The sequence below is a fragment of the Homo sapiens genome, chromosome 17 (assembly GCF_000001405.40).
Source record: "Homo sapiens chromosome 17, GRCh38.p14 Primary Assembly".
Classification (NCBI taxonomy): domain Eukaryota; kingdom Metazoa; phylum Chordata; class Mammalia; order Primates; family Hominidae; genus Homo; species Homo sapiens.
In genome coordinates, this window is record NC_000017.11 from 74,287,972 (window position 1) to 74,306,414 (window position 18,443).

General features: G+C 49.1%; 1 protein-coding gene across 17 annotated transcripts in view, besides 2 other annotated features; it reads left to right on the forward strand.

The window, feature by feature from the left end:
• The window catches only part of DNAI2 (dynein axonemal intermediate chain 2), a 40,651-nt gene that overhangs the window by 13,738 nt on the left and 8,470 nt on the right, over positions 1-18,443 (forward strand). For 16 of the 17 annotated variants that reach the window (XR_007065388.1, XR_007065398.1, XR_007065399.1 and 13 more), the window contains 5 exons: positions 1,623-1,765; positions 3,049-3,162; positions 11,747-11,886; positions 13,075-13,197; positions 17,248-17,471. Coding sequence is in view for 4 of the 17 variants with exons in the window: in NM_001353167.2 (NP_001340096.1) it covers positions 1,623-1,765; positions 3,049-3,162; positions 11,747-11,886; positions 13,075-13,197; positions 17,248-17,471 (744 nt within the window). In the remaining 13 variants the exon portion in view is untranslated. The remainder of the gene's footprint in view (positions 1-1,622; positions 1,766-3,048; positions 3,163-11,746; positions 11,887-13,074; positions 13,198-17,247; positions 17,472-18,443) is intronic. The other variant, XR_007065396.1, reaches the window with a different exon arrangement.
• Positions 1,127-1,627: an enhancer, noted in NCBI's record as "H3K4me1 hESC enhancer chr17:72285237-72285737 (GRCh37/hg19 assembly coordinates)". NCBI's record gives its function as "activates a minimal SCP1, AML or CMV promoter by ChIP-STARR-seq in primed H9 embryonic stem cells {active_cell/tissue: H9 hESC(primed)}" and the evidence as "EXISTENCE:reporter gene assay evidence [ECO:0000049][PMID:30033119]".
• Positions 8,590-8,824: a silencer, noted in NCBI's record as "fragment chr17:72292700-72292934 (GRCh37/hg19 assembly coordinates)". NCBI's record gives its function as "represses an EF-1alpha promoter that drives an FKBP-Casp9 reporter gene in an ReSE screen in phorbol 12-myristate 13-acetate-treated (for megakaryocytic differentiation) K562 erythroleukemia cells {active_cell/tissue: K562(+PMA)}" and the evidence as "EXISTENCE:reporter gene assay evidence [ECO:0000049][PMID:32094911]".

Here is an 18,443-nt window from a genome sequence, read left to right on the forward strand (position 1 = left end):
AGTGCAACTTCTTATGTGCTGATATGGAGTCATTTCCAGGATTCAGTATGTGAAAACCAAACCAAAACAAAGCCGGTGCAGAACAGGGTGTGCAGAGTGCCACTTTTTGTGGCAGTCCCCAACTTAAACCATTTTTTGTCTTTGCAAGGCTGCAAAAGCAATGCAAATCCAGGAGAAACCGTACTTCAAGTACCCATACAACCATTCTGTTTTCCACCCTCAGTACAGTATTCAGAAAATTACATGAGCTGTTCACCTCTTTATTATAAAATAAGCTTTGTGCTAGGTGATTTTGCCCAACTATAGGCTAATATAAGTGTTCTGAGCACATAGGCTGGACTAAGATGTGATGCTGGGTAGGTTAGGTGTATTCAATGCATTTTCAGCTCCTGATATTTCCAACTTACTATGGGTTTATCAGATGTAGCCAACATCATTAGATAAGGAGCATCTGTATATGTGTATAAATATATGCATATGTGTATGTGTGTATATATGTGTAGATGTATGTTTACATGCCTGATGTGAGGAGAACATCTGTGATTTTGGACTTCTGGCATCCGGAACTGTGATAGAATCAATTTCTGTTGTTTGAAGCCACGCAGTTTGTGGGACCTCGTTGCAGCAGCCCCAGGAACAGAATACCCCATCCCAGAGCACCTTTGTAGGGTGTACAAAAGAAGCTGATAGGAAGGAGAGCTTGGGAACAGGGATGGGGAGAAGCCTGGGGAAGAAGGACTCCTCGGCCTTGAAGTCTGGTGGAAGGAGTTGCAGAAAGTGGGTGGAAGTGAGAAAGACCATGCTCTGTGGCCTCGGTTTTGACCATGAAGAAAAAAGCAAGGCCGTCCAATCAGATGAGTGGAGATGAGCAGGAGGCTGGAATAGAGCAGCTGGGGAAATGCGGAGGGGAAGCCTGTGGACCTGGGGCAGAGGACAGACCTTGGGTCTGGGTGATGCAGGACTAGGGGTGTGAAAGGTGTTTGGGAAATGACTTGCCTCAGATCCCAGCTCTGGGGAATTCATTTCACTACCACGACTGACTTAGGGGCCTGGGAAGTACCTAGCCCAGTCCCAGCACAGCAAGAAAGAACTCTTTTCTGAGGCAGGGCTGACTCATGGTGTGCAAGCAGGGCCAGTGGCTGTCAGCAAGGGGTGTGCAGGAGAGGGCATGGCGGGGCAGAGGCTGCCCTTCCTGTTGCCCTCCAGCCCTGCTGGGCTCTAACCTCGTATATGGACCACCAGAGCAGGATGATGCATTAGAAATCATCCGAGGGGCCGGGCACTGTGGCTCACGCCTATAATCTTAGCACTTTGGGAGGCCCAGGTGGGCATATCATCTGAGGTCACGAGTTTGAGACCAGCCTAGGAAACATGGTAAAAACCTGTCTCTACTAAAAATACAAAAATTAGCCAGGCGTGGTGGTGTGCGCCTGTAATCGTAGCTACTCGGGAGGCTGAGGCAGGAGAATTGTTTGAACCCAGGAGGCAGAGGTTGCAGTGAGCCGAGATTATGCCACTGCCTGGGGGACAGAGCAAGACTCCATCTGACAAAAAAAAAAAAAAGGGGGAGAAATTGGGGAACCTCACATCCAGCCTTCTGCTCTCTTCCCTCTCCCCTGCAGGGACCCCCAGGAAATCAAGAGGGCTGCCACACACCTCTCCTGGCACCCCGATGGCAACAGGAAGTTGGCAGTGGCATACTCCTGCTTGGATTTTCAGCGGGCACCTGTGGGCATGAGCAGCGATTCATACATCTGGGACCTGGGTGAGAAGCAGCGGGGTCCTGGTGGCCTGGGAGGGCTGAGGGCTGGGACCAGCACAAGTGGAGGAGCGGGAGGGAGGGGCAGGAGGTCAAGGACACTCACGCGGTTGGTGCCTCAAGGGAAGGGCCCGCAGTCGAGGAGGAACACACTCTTCTCCTTCCTCTCTTGTCTGGTTTCAGGCAGAGCCAAGCAGAGTCAAATCAGAAGCAGGAAACCCCCACCAATTCCAGATTCTTAGTTCGAGGCATGAAGACCTGACCCCATGGGATCTCAATTCTTAGCTCCTAAGGAGCATATCAGGCCGGGCTCGGTGGCCCATGCCTGTAATCCCAGCACTTTGGGAGGCCAAGGCAGGTGGATCACCTGAAGTCAGGAGTTCAAGACCAGCCTGGCTAACATGATAAAACCCTGTCTCTACTAAAAATACAAAAATTAGTTGTGCTTGATGGTGGGTGCCTGTAATCCCAGCTACTTGGGAGACTGAAGCAGGAGAATCGCTTGAACCCAGGAGTCAGAGGTTGCAGTGAGCCGAGATCATGCCACTGCACTCCATCCTGGGCAACAGAGTGAGACTCTATCTCAACAGCAACAACAAGACAGAGTGCCCAGCAGACTGAGAAGGGACTCAAGGGGCGGCGGAATGGAACTTGTGCCTTTGTCCCATCTGTCCTGACACTTGCCTTTAATTCATGGCCTGCAGGGGCAGCGTGTCCATTTATTAGCACAAACCATTGTCTACAGAAGGGCTGGCAAGACACAGGCAGGGACAGGGTGGTGGTGGCTTCACGCTCTCCAGCTTCCCTTCGTTGTCAGCATTATTAAAATAAACATGTAGGTGCCAGGCAGAGAGCTAACGCCCGACATTCCAACAGCTCAGCGAGTTCTGGCAGCAGCCCTATGGGGTGGACTCCGTCATTATCTGCAGTCCACAGACCTGGTTGGAAGAAACCGGCAGAGAGTTGACTTTGTGTAAAAACTTTAGTATCAAAACCTCGTTTCACACCAAACCTAGGAACTGGACTAGAAATATAATTATCACACACATACGCACACCCCAATCCTGTTCACCAAAAATAAAAACCATCAGCAAAGCCCCTAGGGTCAAGAATGCCAGATTCTGGCCAAGGTGGACCAGGGGGTGCAGGCTGGGGAAAGACTGGAGGGGCTTCCAGGCTTCCCCCTCTGCCACCATGCCCCCGCTACCCACCCGCAGAAGGGGTGAAACTGGTTGATCCTGTCCTTTTCTTTCCGGGCCTGGTGGGGATAATTTTTTTGTGCTTTATAGAAAACCCCAACAAGCCTGAACTTGCTCTGAAGCCATCGTCTCCACTCGTGACGTTGGAGTTCAACCCCAAAGATTCCCACGTACTCCTGGGTGGCTGCTACAATGGACAGATAGGTAAGGAGGGACCTAGGCTTTTTTATTTTTATTTTTATTTTTTTTAGATGGAATTTTGCTCTTGTTTCCCAGGCTGGAGTGTAGTGGTGCAATTTTGGCTCACTGCAACCTCCGCCTCCTGGGTTCAAGTGATTCTCCTGCCTCAGCCTCCCGAGTCGCTGAGATTACAGGCACCCACCACCACACCTGGCTAATTTTTTTGTTATTTTTAGTAGAGACAGGGTTTCACCATGTTGGCCAGGCTGGTCTCGCACTCCTGACCTCAGGTGATTCACCCACCTGGGCCTCCCAAAGTGCTGGGATTACAGGTGTGGGCCACCACACCTGGCCGGGACCCAGATTCATAGTCAGAGCCAATCCTGCTGCTATAGGGCAGAGCCCACATGGCAGCCTGGGCTCGGCCACAGAAGACTAAGTGGGGTGAGGGCCTCCCATAGCTGACCAACTGCAGACACGGGTGAGGCAGGTTTGGCTGACACCTCAGCAGTGTCTCCTGTTACTACTGTAAGTCTAAAATTAGCTCAAAATAAACAGTTTTAAAAAACTATAGTTCAAGTAAAATCAGAGAATATTTGACTAGGGGCCGCCATAAAGGGATGATGAGAGCGTTGGGGAGCCCTATTTTGGGAGAGGTTTCTGGGAAACCTACATGCTAACGGATATGGGTAATACTGGCCTTATAGAATGAGTTGGGAAGTATTCCCTTCTGGAAGTTTGTGAAGAATTGATATTAATTTTTTTTTTTTTTGAGATGGAGTCTCGCTCTGTCGCCCAGGCCGGAGTGCAGTGGTGCAGTCTCAGCTCACTGCAGCCTCCACCTCTCGGATTCAAGTGATTCTCCTGCCTCAGCCTCCTGAGTAGCTGGGACTACAGGCTCATGCCACCACGCCTGGCTAATTTTGTCTTTTTTCAGTAGAGTTAGGGTTTCACTATGTTGGCCAGACTTGTCTCAAATTCCTGACCTCAAGTGATCCTCCCTCCTTGGCCTTCCAAAGTACTGGGATTACTGGCGTGAGCCACCATGCCTGGCCGCTATTAATTCTTGAAATGTTTGGTAGAACTCATCAGTGAAGCCATCTGGTCCCTGGCTTTTCTTTATTGGAAGCTTAAAAGTTACAATTCAGTCTGTTTATTTGTTATAGATCCTCTTCACATTTTCTGTTTCTTCTTTAATTGCTTTTGGTAGTTTCTGTCTTTCTAGGAACTTTTCCATTTCATCAAGTTGTCTAGTTTGTTGACATTTAATTGTTCACAGTATTCCCTTATAATCATTTTCTTTTTCTTTTTTTTTTTTTTTTTTTGAGACAGAGTTTTACTCTGTTGCCCAGGCTGGAGTGCAGTGGTGTAATCACTGCTCATTGCAGCCTCGACCTCCTGGGCCCGAGCAATTCTTCCACCCCAGCCTCCCGAGTAGCTGAGCCTACAGGCATGTGCCACCACACTCGGCTAATTTTTGTAGTTTTTTTAGTCACAAGGTTTCATCATGCTGCCCAGGCTGGTCTTAAACTCCTGGGCTCAAGGGATCCGCCTGCCTTGGCTGGCCTCCCAAAGTGCTGGGATGAACCACCACACCTGGCCTGATTTCAGTCTTTTAAAATTTATTGAGACTTGTTTTATGGCCTAGCATATTGTCTATCCTGGAGAATGTTCCATGAGCACTTGAGAAGACTATATTCTGCTTATTGTCCGGTGTAGTTTTCCTTTTTTTTTTTTTGGGACGGAGTCTTGCTCTTTCGCCCAGGCTGGAGTGCAGTGGCGCGATCTTGGCCCACTGCAAGCTCTGCCTCCTGGGTTCACGCCATTCTCCTGCCTCAGCCTTCCGAGTAGCTGGGACTACAGGTGCCTGCCACCACGCTGGGCTAATTTTTTGTATTTTTTTTTAGTAGAGACGGGGTTTCACCGTGTTAGCCAGGATGGTCTCGATCTCCTGACCTCGTGATCCGCCCGCCTCGGCCTCCCAAAGTGCTGGGATAACAGGCGTGAGCCACCGCACCTGGCCTGTCCAGTGGAGTTTTCTATAGTTGTCTGGGAGGTCTTGTCTATAGTGTTGGTCAAGACTTCTATTTCCTTGTTGATCTTTCACGTAGTAATTATGTCTATTATTGAAAGTAGGATACTGATGTCTGCCATTATTATTGTTGAATTGTCTATTTCTCCTTCAATTTTGTCAGGTTTTGCTTCCTGTATGTTAAGGCTATGTTATTAGGTACATGCACATGCTTATAATTGTTAAGTTTTCCTAGTGAATTAACCCTTTTATCAGTATATGATGTCTTCATTTGTCTCTAGTAGCATTTTTCATCTCAAAGTCTGTCTTTGAGATAAGCACTCCAGCCCTCTTTGGTTACCATTTGCATGGTATATCTTTCCCCATCCTTTTACTTTTAACCTGTTTGCCTCTTTGAATCTAAAGTATGTCTTGTAGCCAGGTGTGGTGACACGCACCTGTAATCCCAGCTACTTGGGAGGCTAAGGCACGAGAATCGCTTGAACCTGGGAAGCTGAGATTGCAGTGAGTCGAGATCATGCCACTGAACTCCAGCCTGGGTGACAGAGCGAGACTCCATCTCAAAAAAATAAAAATAAAATAAAAAAATAAAGTATGTCTCTTGTAGATTACATGTAGCTGGCATACAAGTGAATCATAGTTTTGTTTTGTTTTGTTTTTGAGACAGAGTCTTACTCTGTCACCCAGGCTGGAGTGCAGTGGCGTGATCTCGGCTCACTGCAACCTCCGCCTCCTGGGTTCAAGCGATTCTCCTGCCTCAGCCTCCCGAGTAGCTGGGATTACAGGTGCATGCCACCACGCCCAGCTAATTTTTGTAGTTTTGGAGAGATGAGGTTTTACCATGTTGGCCAGGCTGATCTCGAACTCCTGGCCTCAAGCGATATGCCCACCTCGGCCTCCCAAAGTGCTGGGATTACAGGCATGAGCCACCACGCCCAGCTTGGATCGTGGTTTTTTCCTTTTAATCTATTCTATCTATCTCTGGTTTTAAGTGGAGAGTTTAATCTATTTACATTAATTTAATTACTGATAAAGTTTACATCTGCCATTTTGCTTTTTTTTCCTATATGTCTTACATCTTTTTGTTCTTTCTCCATAACTGCCTTCTTTTGTGCCACGTATTTTCTAGTGTACCATTTTAATTCCCTTATCATTTCTTTTTTTTTTTTCTTTTCTTTTTTTTTTAGAGACAAGGTCTCACTCTGTCACCCAAGCTGGAGCGCAGTGCTGTGATCATAGCTCACTGCAGCCTCAAACTCCTGGGCTCAAGCAATCCTCCCACCTCAGCCTCCTGAGTGGTTGGGACAACAGGTGCACGTCACCACACTCAGCTACTTTTTTATTTTTTAATTTTTGTAGAGATAGGGTCTTGCTATGTTGCCCAGGCTGGTCTTGAACTCCTGGCCTCAGGCAATTCTCCCACCTTGGCCTCCCAAAGTGCTGGGATTTCAGGCGTGAGCCACCACACTCAACTTAAGCTATTGATCTTATTGATGATCCTGTGTATGTGATGAGTCATTTTTCTCTTGCTGCTTTCAAGAGTCTCTGTCTTCAGCTTTGATTATGATGTTTCTAGGTATGGATATCTTTGAGTTTATCCCACTTGGAATTCATTGAGTTTCTTGGATGTGTAGATTATTTTTTTAAAAATCAAATATGGAATATTTACAACCATTATTTATTCAAATATTCTTTCCTACCCTTTCTCTCTCTCCTCTCCTTCTGTGACTTCCATTATGTGTATGTTGGCATGCTTGATGGTGTCCCATAGGTCTTTAGACTCTGTTTTTCTTTGTTCTCTTTTCTTTCTATTCCTCAGACTACATAATCTCAATTGACCCATCTTCACGTTCAGTGATTCTTCTGCCTGCTCAAATATGCCATCCTGTAGCTTCTCTGCTATATTTTTATTTTGGTTAATGACTCCAGAATTTCTATTTTGTTCTTTCTTTTAAAAATAATTTCTGTCTCATTTGGATGTGGTGGCTCGTGCCTGGAAACCTAGCACTTTGGGAGGCTGAGGTGGGTGGATTACCTGAACTCAGGAGTTCAAGACCAGCATGGGCAACATGGTCAAACCCCATCTCTACTTAAAAAAAAAAAAAAAAAAATCAGCCAGGTGAGGTGGAGTGCACCTGCAATCTCAGCTACTTGGGAGGCTGAGGCAAGAGAATTGCTTGAACCCAGGAGGCAGAGGTTGCAGTAAGTTGAGATTGTGCCACTGCACTCCAGGCTGGGCAACAAAGCGAAACTCTGTCTTCAAAAATAATAATGATAATGATTTTTGTCTATTTGTATCTTTTATTTGGTGAGAGATCATCTCATGCTTTTCTTTAGTTCTTTTGATGTGACTTCCTTTAGTTCTTTGAACATGTTTAGCATAGCTGATGTGAGGCCTTTGTCTAGTTAGTCCAATATCTGGGCTTCTTGGGGACAATCTCTATTTATTGCTTTTTTATTCCTGTGTTTGGGCCATACATTTGTATTTCTTGGCATGTCTTATAATTTTTTTTTTATTAAAAACTATACTTTTTGTATGATTTAATGTGGCAACTTTGCAAATCAGATTGACATACCTCCCAGAGTTTGTGTTGTTGCTGTTTGTTGTAGTTGTTCTTTGTTTCATTAATACATTTTCTTAGCTAGTTCTGGAAAGTCTGTATTCCCTGTCACGTGTGACCACTTATAGTCTCTGCTTAGCTTAGTGATTAGTTAATGATTGAACAAAGATTTCCTTAAGCATTTGTCACCAAAAAATCTCCCCTTCTCTGCTAAGGGGCTCTGTGTGCGTGTGTGAGCATGCCTTTACACTCAGCCAGGCAGTTGTCAACTCTGCCTTAGTGTCTGTGCAGAGATGAGGTCAGCCAGAGAGTTTAGGGCTTTATCGGTTTTCCTGAGCATGACACAGCTCTGGGCGTGCACACAGCTCTATCCATGCTTGTGACCTTCTAGACTCCCAGGAATATGTCAGATCTTTTCAAAGCCCTGTGGACACATCATGCTTCAGCTTTTCCTTTTACTTATTTACTTTTGTTGTTTAAATGTAATAGAAGTTGAGCACAGTGGCTCACGTCTGTAATCCTAACACTTTGAGAAGCTGAGGCGGGAGGATCGCCTGCATTCAGGAGTTTGAAACTAGCCTGTGCAGCATAGTGAGATCTTGCCTTTAAAGAGAGAGAGAGAGAGAGAGAGGAGAGAGAGAGAGGAGAGAGAGAGGAAGGGGGAAGGAGGGAGGGAGGGAGAGAGAGAGAGAGAGAGAAAGAAAGAAAATAGGGACAGGGTCTTGCTATGTTGACCAGGTTGGTTGTGAACTCCTGGCCTCAAGCAGTCCTGCCTCAGCCTCCCAAAGTACAGGCGTGAGCCACTGTACTCGGCCCAGCTTTTCCTTTTAAGCTTTTCGGTAGGTCTATTCCTTTCCCCACCTGTTATCCACTGCCTCAGGAAGCTGCAAAGTTAGTCAGTTGCCTGCAATTACACCCTGATGAAAAGACTTTTCACACCAGGCAAAGGCTGAACCAAGTCAATTACAGCCAACCTTGCAAGAGGAGCCTTATCAGGGAACCACCAGACCGGTCAGATAATGACAGTTCTTTGGGCATGAGACTTGAAAGGAGCTCCAGCCTCATTCTGCTCCCTCTTGTGGCGCCAGGCTGCTGTTTTTCATCAGGAGTGCAGAATGTGAATTTTCAAGGCCACCACGGAACTGCAGAGTGTGCGATCTTAACTAGGGCAAGTGAAAATGCCACTGTTCTTACCAAGATTCTGCTGTTTTTCTTGAATAAACATTCTCCCGACTGCCCTAAGCCTCTGGCTAATTTCCAGAGTTCTGAAAAAGTTGATTCTGACCATTTTTGCCAGTTTTCTCACTGCTATTATGGAGGAGAGAATTTTTGGAGGTCCTTACTTCACGGATTTTGCTGATGGCACACCTGGAAAACTGATTTTTGTTTGTTTGTTTCTTTGAGACAGAGTCTCGCTGTGTCACCTAGGCTGGAGTGCAATGTCACGATCTTGGCTCACTGCAAGCTCCGCCTCCCAGGTTCATGCCATTCTCCTGCCTCAGCCTCCCGAGTAGCTGGGACTACAGGTGCCCGCCACCACGCCCAGCTAATGTTTTGTATTTTTTTTTTTTAGTAGAGACGGGGTTTCACTGTGTTAGCCAGGATGGTCTTGATCTCTTGACCTCGTGATCTGCCTGCCTCGGCCTCCCAAAGTGCTGGGATTACAGGCATGAGCCACCGTGCCCAGACTTTTTTTTTTTTTTTTTGAGACAGGGTCTTGCTCTGTCACCCAGGCTGGAGTACAGTGGTGTGATCTCAGCTCACTGCCACCTCCGCCTCCTGGGTTCAAGCGATCCTCCTGCCTCAGCCTCCCCAGAGGCTGGTGCATGCCACCACGCCTGGCTAATTTTTGTATTTTTAATAGAAACAGAGTTTTGTCATGTTGGCCAGGCTGTTCTCAAACTCCTGGCCTCAAGTGATCCACCCACCTTGACCTCCCAAAGTGCTGGGATTACAGGCGTGAGCCACCAAGCCCAGCCCAAACTGCTTTTTTTTTTTTTTAATCTCCAGTGAGATCAGAAGTCACCTGCCTGGGTTGGCTCTGAATGTCCCTACCTGCTCTGTTCCCCTGAACCTGGAGTCGCCAGACACCCAACCCATGACTACACCCAGGCCAGTCTTGACCCTGGGCGTAAAAAGCATTCCCCACTCCTCTCTGCTCTGTATGTTCTTATACTTTTGCTGCTTCTTCGGGAGTGGGAGCCAGGATGGCTGAGAAACTCCTCCTCTGAAGCTGTCTGTAGTCAGCTGCTTCCTAAGGCCCCGATCTCCCTCTCAGACCTGCTGCCTCCTGCCCAGGGGAGCTTTCAGATTATGGAATAGACCCGGGCTCCCATAAACGTCCCTGCCAAACTATCTGGGTGCCAGAGCTCTAAAAGACTGAGGCAGAGCCACTTTGCCATGATTAATTCAAGAGCCTTGACTCAGTCATTATTCATAACCTCTTTCAGTGGTTTTTCATGCCAGCTCATACCAGCCCAGACTCTGGTGCTCCGCTGCTCCAAGAAGGGCCCCTCTAGGGCCATGTGGGACCCAGTGGGACCTACTCTTGAGCACTGCTTTGCCAAAGTAGAACAGGCTTATCTTTTATTTTTATTTATTTTTATTTTTTGTTTTGTTTTTGAGACAGCCTTGCTTTGTTGCCCAGGCTGGAGTGCAATGGCATGATCTCAGCTCACTGCAACATCTGCCTCCCAGGTGCGAGTGATTCTCATGCCTCAGCCTCCTGAGAAGCTGGGATTACAGGTGCCTGCCACCACGCCCAGCTAATTTTTTTGTGTTTTTAGTAAAGATGGGGTTTCATCATGTTGGCCAGGCTGGTCTTGAACTCCTGACCACAAGTGATCCACCTGCCTCAGCCTCCCAAAGTGCTGGGATTACAGGTGTGAGCCACCAGGCCTGGCCTATTTTTATTTTTTGAGACAGGGTCTTGCTCTGTCACCCAGGCTGGGGTGTAGTGGCACGATCATGGCTCACTGCAGCCTCAACCTCCCAGGCTCAAGCAATTCTCCCACCTCAGCCTCCCGAGTAGCAGGCAGCCTCCCGAGTAACAGCCTCCCGAGTAGCATGTGCCACCATGCCCAGCTAGGTTTTAAATTTTTTGTAGAGACGGGGTCTCACTATGTTGCCCAAGCTGCTCTTGGATTCCTGGGCTCAAGCAATCCTTTTGCCTCGGCCTCCTAATGCGCTAGGATTACAAGCATGAGCCACTGTGCTTGGCTGAGCAGGCGTATCTAAGAAAACATATTTCTGGGCCAGCTGAGTTCAGGGAAAATGCCTTGAACTTGGAGAAATACTAAGTCAAAGCTTACGAGCTAAGTACTTTTGTTATTTTACAAAACGGCCTTTCCTAGAAACAGCTCTGAGTGACAGGGTGAGCCCTCATTGTGCATTCATGGGAAAATGGAAACGAAATCTAACAGGACAAAGGACAGATAACCTTTCCATCTTTCTTGGCAAAGCACTAATAACAGATCACAGTAAAGGCTAAAGCTCCTCTGTGAGTTTCTTTCCAACAGAGGCAGCAGAGGTACAAAGGATAAGAGGAAATGGGCTAATGTAGCAGAGAGATTCACCTAAATGGAGTCTTTCCACGTGCTTTTCCCTACGTTAGGGACTCGGCTCTCCTCTCGCCTGGCTCCCTCCATCCTGAGGCTCATCTTCCATCTCAGCTACCTGTCACTTCCTCCAGGAGGCCTTCCCTGACCACCCTCATGTGTTCCCCTGCCACTATGCCTGTCCTATCCCCAGAGGCTTGCCCAGGGCCAAGTGTTGGGTAGGGAGTCAATGCCTGGGAGGGGCTCAAGGAACTGAATGAAGCTTGCACTCTGGGAGTCTCTCCAGAGAGTCTGTAGAGGCTGGTAGGAAACTCAGGCTGATTTGAACCAAGCCCTGATTCTAGAAAACCACATACCTGCCAAACCAGAAGCAGCAGCCCCCTCTCTCCCCTGCTCCCTGCCCTAAGGAAGGAAGCCTGTGCCCCCTTCCACTCCTTCTTCATCTCCTTCCTCACCAGCCTGCTGGGACACCCGAAAGGGCAGCCTGGTGGCGGAGCTATCCACCATTGAGTCCAGCCACCGAGACCCTGTGTATGGCACCATCTGGCTGCAGTCGAAGACGGGCACCGAGTGCTTCTCAGCTTCCACGGATGGGCAGGTACCCACCAGCCAGACACTGGAGAGAGGAGGGAAGGGAGGGGCAGTAACTGTTCCCTGGTTCCCCATCAGAACCCCTGGGGACATTTCCTTTAACACATTTTATTTTGAGATGGAGTTTCACTCTTGTTGCCCAGGCTGGAGTGCAATGGCACGATCTTGGTTCACTGCAACCTCTGCCTCCCGGGTTCAAGCAATTCTCCTGCCTCAGCCTCCCAAGTAGCTGGGATTACAGGCGCCTGCCACTATGCCTGGTTAATTTTTTATTTTTAGTAGAGATGGTGCTTCACTATGTTGGCCAGGCTGGTCTCGAACTCTGACCTCAGGTGATCCACCCGCCTTGGCCTCCCAAAGTGGTGGGATTACAGGCATGAGCCACTGCGCCCAGCCTAACACTTTATTTTTAAGTTGAGTAGTGATAATACATGCCCACGGAACAGAATCTAAAGGGTGCAAAAAAGAAAATGCCTTCCTCTCACCTCTGCCTGCACCTCCTCCCCTCCCTCCCTCTCTTATGTCTGCCTTCAGAGCTAGTCTCTGCGTATGCAAGGAAACACACCTCTCTCTTCTTTACTCTTTCTTTTTGCACACTTCACACACTATTCTGTACTCGATGTTTTCCATTGTGTGTACCTTGGAGATAGTTTCATATTTCATACACCGCTGCCCCATGCCTATTAATAACTGCATCATGTGGGTGTACCATAATTTATATATGGATTCTAATATTTTGTTGCTACCCCCCAAAAAATACAGCAAAGAGCATCTTTATACACAGATTGTTGCACACATGCGGGGATATATCTACAGCAGACATTGCTGGCAGTGGGACTTCTAGGTCGGAGCACACATGCATTTTTAACATTGCCGGATATTGCCTTATTGTGGGGAGTCTTGGCATATACCGATTCTTGGCCTTGCACCTGGAGGTTTTGATTCAGTAGGTCGAGGGCGAGGCCTCAGCATCTGGGTTGTATGAAGCTTGCCGGCGACTCTGATGATCAGCCAGGTGTGGGAACTGTGGACAGAACAGCAATCCTCAAAGTGTATTTGCTCCCACGAATTGCCGGGAGCTCCATCCTTTGTGGCCCAGTGGCTGACCCCAGGACGGTGGGGTGAGGGCGGAGAAGGCAAAAGCCAGGGGAAATACAGGGCCTCGAAGTCTCACTGTCGCCCCTCCTCCCACCAGGTCATGTGGTGGGACATCCGAAAGATGAGCGAGCCCACTGAAGTTGTGATCTTGGACATCACCAAGAAGGAACAGTTGGAAAATGCCTTGGGGGCCATCTCCCTGGAGTTCGAATCTACTTTGGTGAGTGTCCCTTGCTGTCCCTTCCCCGACTTGCATTGACAGGGCAGCCAGGGCTAAAGACAGGCCATTGCTAGGATATCAGGTGCTCGTGGAACCCAGCACCAGCCCAGGGAGGCCACCCTCACTGCAGCCATCCTAGACGTGTGTGGCCTTTACAACAACTTTCCAGCAGGGGGCAGCAGAGCTTCTCGAAGAAGGACACCATAGTCATCATGGCACCAAGTCATCTTTTGGCCAGTGGCCCAGCTGAACACAGAGGGCAATCTTTTGACAGAACAATTCCAGAAAAGCCCTGTTTTGTGGGGAAGGTCACGCCCAGGACCAACATCGGGAGGCCTGGACTCCAACCCAGGTCCTGGCCCTGCCTGGCACGGGGTCCCTAGGCTGGTCACCTGCCTTCCTCTGGGGAAGGAAGAGGTACTGGAGAGGAAAATGAGGTCAAAGCAGGCTCCTTGGAAAACCAGAGCACAAGCATGGTCTCGGTGTTCAGTCACTGAGAATGACAAAGAAATATCAAAGTTCAGGTCGGGCAGGGTGGCTCACGCCTGTAATCCCAGCACTTTGGGAGGCCAAGAATTTAAGACCAGCCTGGGTACATAATGAGACCCCCCCCACCGCCCGCCCAGTCTTTACCAAGAAAGAAAGAAAGAAAGAGAGGGAGAGAGAGGGAAAGAAAAGGAAAGAAGGAAGGAAAGAAGGAAGGAAGGAAGGAAGGAAGGAAGGAAGGAAGGAAGGAAGGAAAGAAGGAAGGAAGGAAGGAAGGAAGGAAGGAAGGAAGGAAGGAAGGAAGGAAGGAAAGAAGGAAGGAAGGAAGGAAGGAAGGAAGGAAGGAAGGAAGGAAGGAAAGAAGGAAGGAAAGAAGGAAGGAAGGAAGGAAGGAAGGAAGGAAGGAAGGAAGGAAAGAAGGAAGGAAGGAAGGAAGGAAGGAAGGAAGGAAGGAAGGAAGGAAGGAAAGAAAAAGAAGAAAAATATCAATGTGAGGCAAGGCGCCGTGGCTCACACCTGTAATCCCAGCACTTTGGGAGGCTGAGGTGGCAGGATCACTTGAGCCCAGCAGTTCAAGACCAGCCTGGACAACATAGCAAGACACTGTCCCTACATAAGAAAAGAAAAAAAGGGCCAGGCACGGTGGCTCACACCTGTAATCCCAGCACTTTGGGAGGCCAAGGCGGGCGGATCACCTGAGGTTGGGAGTTCGAGGCCAGCCTGACCAATATGGAGAAACCCCATCTCTACTAAAAATACAAAATTAGCTGGGCGTGGAGGCGCACGCCTGTAATCCCAGCTACTCGGGAGGCTGAGGCAGGAGAATTGCTTGAACCTGGGAGGCGGGGGTTGCGGTGAGCCAAGATCGCATCATTGCACTCCAGCCTGGACGACAAGAGCGAAACTCCATCTCAAAAAAAAAACAAAGAAAAGAAAAACAGGAAATATCAGTTTGAGCATAGTGCAAATGTGTTAGAGGAGGGAAGCTTCCTAGAAGCAGTAAAGGAAGACTTCCTCGCTAGAGTAAGAAGACAACTTTCCCTTGTTGTTGGCTTTTGGTTTGGGCTGAGTCTTGGTTTACGTCTTAGTGCAGCCCAGGCCTGGTTCCCCCTTGGGGGTGTCACTTGTTTGCTTCGGGGTCATGGGCCATCATTCCTAGGGCTTTGGGAGGCCCTGGCCTCGAACATACCTGGGCAACCCTAGCTCAAGGCTGAGAGATGAATGTTGATGGAAGGAGGAGACAATTCCACTGACCCCCTCCCCAGAGGACAAGGCACTGGGCAGGGAGGTTGGGGTGGCGAGGGCTCAGGAAAACATTCTGTCCCAGAGGCAAGGCTTTCTAGGCCAAGTGCTAGACATGCAGCCACATCACTACTAGGGCCATCTCCTCCATGCCTGGCCCTTGCAGGGTGCACACTGTGTGTTGGACACTTGTGGCTGCCTGATTTAATAAGCTTGTGCAGTCGCCTACAACCATCTCGTGGGGTAATGTTATTATCCGTACTTGCCAGACACACACGATGAGTCTTCATGAGATTAGGTTGTGAGTCCTAGTACCTGGTAAAGCTGGGACTCAAACCCAGGGCTCCAACTCTGAGGCCCAGAGTGTCCACCTGCAGCCCACCATGAAGTCTGAGGCTAGAGGCACGATGGGCCACTCAGATCTGGGTGGCCTTTCTCTCTGGCTCACTGACGGGCGGCGTGCAGTCGGCTTGAATACTTTCTTCTCTGGACCTCTCAAGCTTGGTCTTTCCACTTGCCCTTGACGCCCAACTTGAAGCCCAGGTTTTTGTTTTGTTTTGTTGAGACATCGTTTTGCTCTGTTGCCCATGCTGGAGTGCAGTTGTGTAATCTCAGCTTACTGCAACATCCACCTCCTGGGCTCAAGCCTCAGCCTCTTGAGCAGCTGGGACCACAGGCACATGCCACCAAGCCAGGCTGATTTTTTTTTTTTTTTTGAGACAGAGTCTCACTCTTGCCCAGGCTGGAGTGCAGTGACATGATCTTGGCTCGCTGCAACCTCTGCCTCCCAGGTTCAAGTGATTCTCGTGCCTCAACCACCACACCTGGCCATGTTCTGGGTATTTTCTAGAGATTTTATATTTATCATTTTAGTAATTTTCTGGTAGAAGAAAACTGCATAATAAAACAATATGTTTTTTAAAAAAATAAAAATAAAAAAGCTGGGGGGCCAGGTGCAGTGGCTCAGGTCTGTAATCCCAGCACTTTGGGAAGCCGATGTGTGCAGATCACTTGAGCTTAGGAGTTTGAGACCAGTCTGGACAACATAGGGAGACTCCATCTCTACAAAAATACAAAAATTAGCTGACCCTGGTGGTGTGTGCTTGTGGTCCCTACGTGGGAGGCTGAGGTGGGAGTACTGCTTGAGCCCAGAAGGTCAAGGATGCAGTGAGCTGAGATCGCACTGCTGCACTCCAGCCTGGGCAATGGAGCCAGAACCTGTCTCGAGAAATAAATAAATAAACTAGGAGTTCTTTTTTCTTTTCTTTTCTTTTTTCTTTTTCTTTTTTCTTTTTTTTTTTTTTTTTTTTTTTTTTGAGGTAGGGCCTTGCTCTGTAGGCCAGGCTGGAGTGCAGTGGCATGATCTCGGCTCACTGCAACCTCTGCCTAAAACCTGGGAGTTCTATAGGGGCAGGTTCACCAGCTGCAGAGGACATCTGAGCCCGTTGACAAAGGCCCTCCCCTCAGTGTGCCCCTCCCCTACCTCACTCAGCTGTTCTTTCCATTTGGAATGCTGAGGACACAGCACCATTGTAGGCTCAGGCCCTGCTGGTGGAGGTTGTTCAGTCTAGCCCAGAAGTTAAGACAGAACAGTAAACAAGGAAGGGCATTGCGTGATGGAGGGGGTCATGCTCAGAGACGCGAGGGGAGCACTGGACCAGGAGTCAGGAGACCAGCCTTTGTGCATTCAGTCCGCAGTGAAGTGAATAACTACTAAAGCTCAGTTCGTGGGCGATGGACCCATGTCAGACAAGCTCGTGCCCCTCAAAGAGCTCACCCACCAGTGGTAGGGGGACGAGTTACATCACCGACTGCCAGGTAACTTCCTGAGTGCTGGTTGGTCACCTGCTCTGAGTTCTCAGGGACACCAGCCTGGACAATGCTATGACAAATGTCACTGTCTTGCCAGGGAAGGCTCTGCCCATCCCATGAGTGATCTGGGTGGGCCACCCTGCATCCCCTCCCTGGGTCTTCTTTACTCTCTCTGTAAACAAACATTCAGGATCTTTATGGCCAAATGCATCGAGGACACAGTGGTGCTCTGCAGAGGGGGCTAGTGACCTGACAACCCTCCAGGACTGGAGGAGCCAGGGAGGGCTTCATTCAGCACAGGCTCCTTGAGCAGCTTCCAAAAAGATGGGGTCTGAGGAGCCCGGGAAGAGTGGGGACTGCTCTCCAGGAGGGGCCACAGCCCTTGCCAAGGCTTGATCTGAGGGCCTTTCTAGCGCCTGCAGACCCCCCAAGCAAGCTCCTGTCCATGCCCGCTAATCCCAGAATTGATGGTTCGTGGAGTCTTCCCCTCCTGTGTCACTCCTTCCACAGCCCACCAAGTTCATGGTGGGGACCGAGCAGGGCATCGTCATCTCCTGCAACCGCAAGGCCAAGACGTCAGCTGAAAAGATTGTGTGCACCTTCCCGGGCCATCATGGCCCCATCTACGCCCTCCAGAGAAACCCCTTCTACCCGAAGAACTTCCTGACGGTTGGCGACTGGACAGCCCGCATTTGGTCTGAAGACAGCCGGGAATCGTCCATCATGTGGACCAAGTAAGAGGCGATGCTGGGGACAGGAGGGGATGCAGGAGACAGGAGGGGATGGAGGGAGCCCAGCTGGGCCCCGGAGAGTCCCGAGCCTCCATATGTAAAATGGAGAAAAACCTTTCCACAAACACCCGAGCTCGTGTTAGCAAGTGACTTGCTCCAGCCACTCCACAAAGTGATAAGCTTCAAACACTCAGTTACTAAAAATAATGGCCATGGCTTAATTTTATTTCCTTTTTTTTTTTTTTTTTTTTTTGAGACAGTCTCGCTTAGTTCCCCAGACTGAGTGCAGTGGCGTGATCTCGGCTCACTGCAGCCTCCACCTCCCAGGTTCAAGAGACTCTCCTGCCTCAGCCTCCTGAGTAGCTGGGACTACAAGCACCTGCCACCATGCCCAACTAATTTTTGTATTTTTAGTAGAGATGGGATTTTGCCACGTTGGCCAGGCTGGTCTTGAACTCCTGACCTCAGGTGATCTGCCCACCTCGGCCTCCCAAAGCGTTGGGATTACAGGTGTGAGCCACCGCGTCTGGCTGGCTTAATTTTCATAATCCTCAAACTATCCCCAGGAGGAGGCAGCATTGCTCTTCTCTTCATCTCATTTTTCATGTTAGGGAACTGGGCTACAGAAAGGCCAAGCCACTTGCTCCTGCTCTCCCAGCTAGTGAGGAGCCGAGATTGGGTGTGAACCAAGGAAGCTTGGCTGGGAAATGCGGGTGCCTTGGCACAATTCAGCAGTGAGGCATAGCCTGTCTTGCTCAGTGCCACTCCTCTGAGGAGAGCAACAGACAGGGAGCTTGAGACAGAGCTATGAGCACAATGGTTAGACCAGAGAAGCTTAGACTATCACATCCCCCTCCATTCTTCTTAGGGCCCATTTACCTTGTCTAAAAGTGCCCTTTCTCCTCCTCCCCTTCATCTCCTAAATTAGGTAATAAGCCCGAATTCTAACCACCCCCTTGAGTCATTCACCACCGA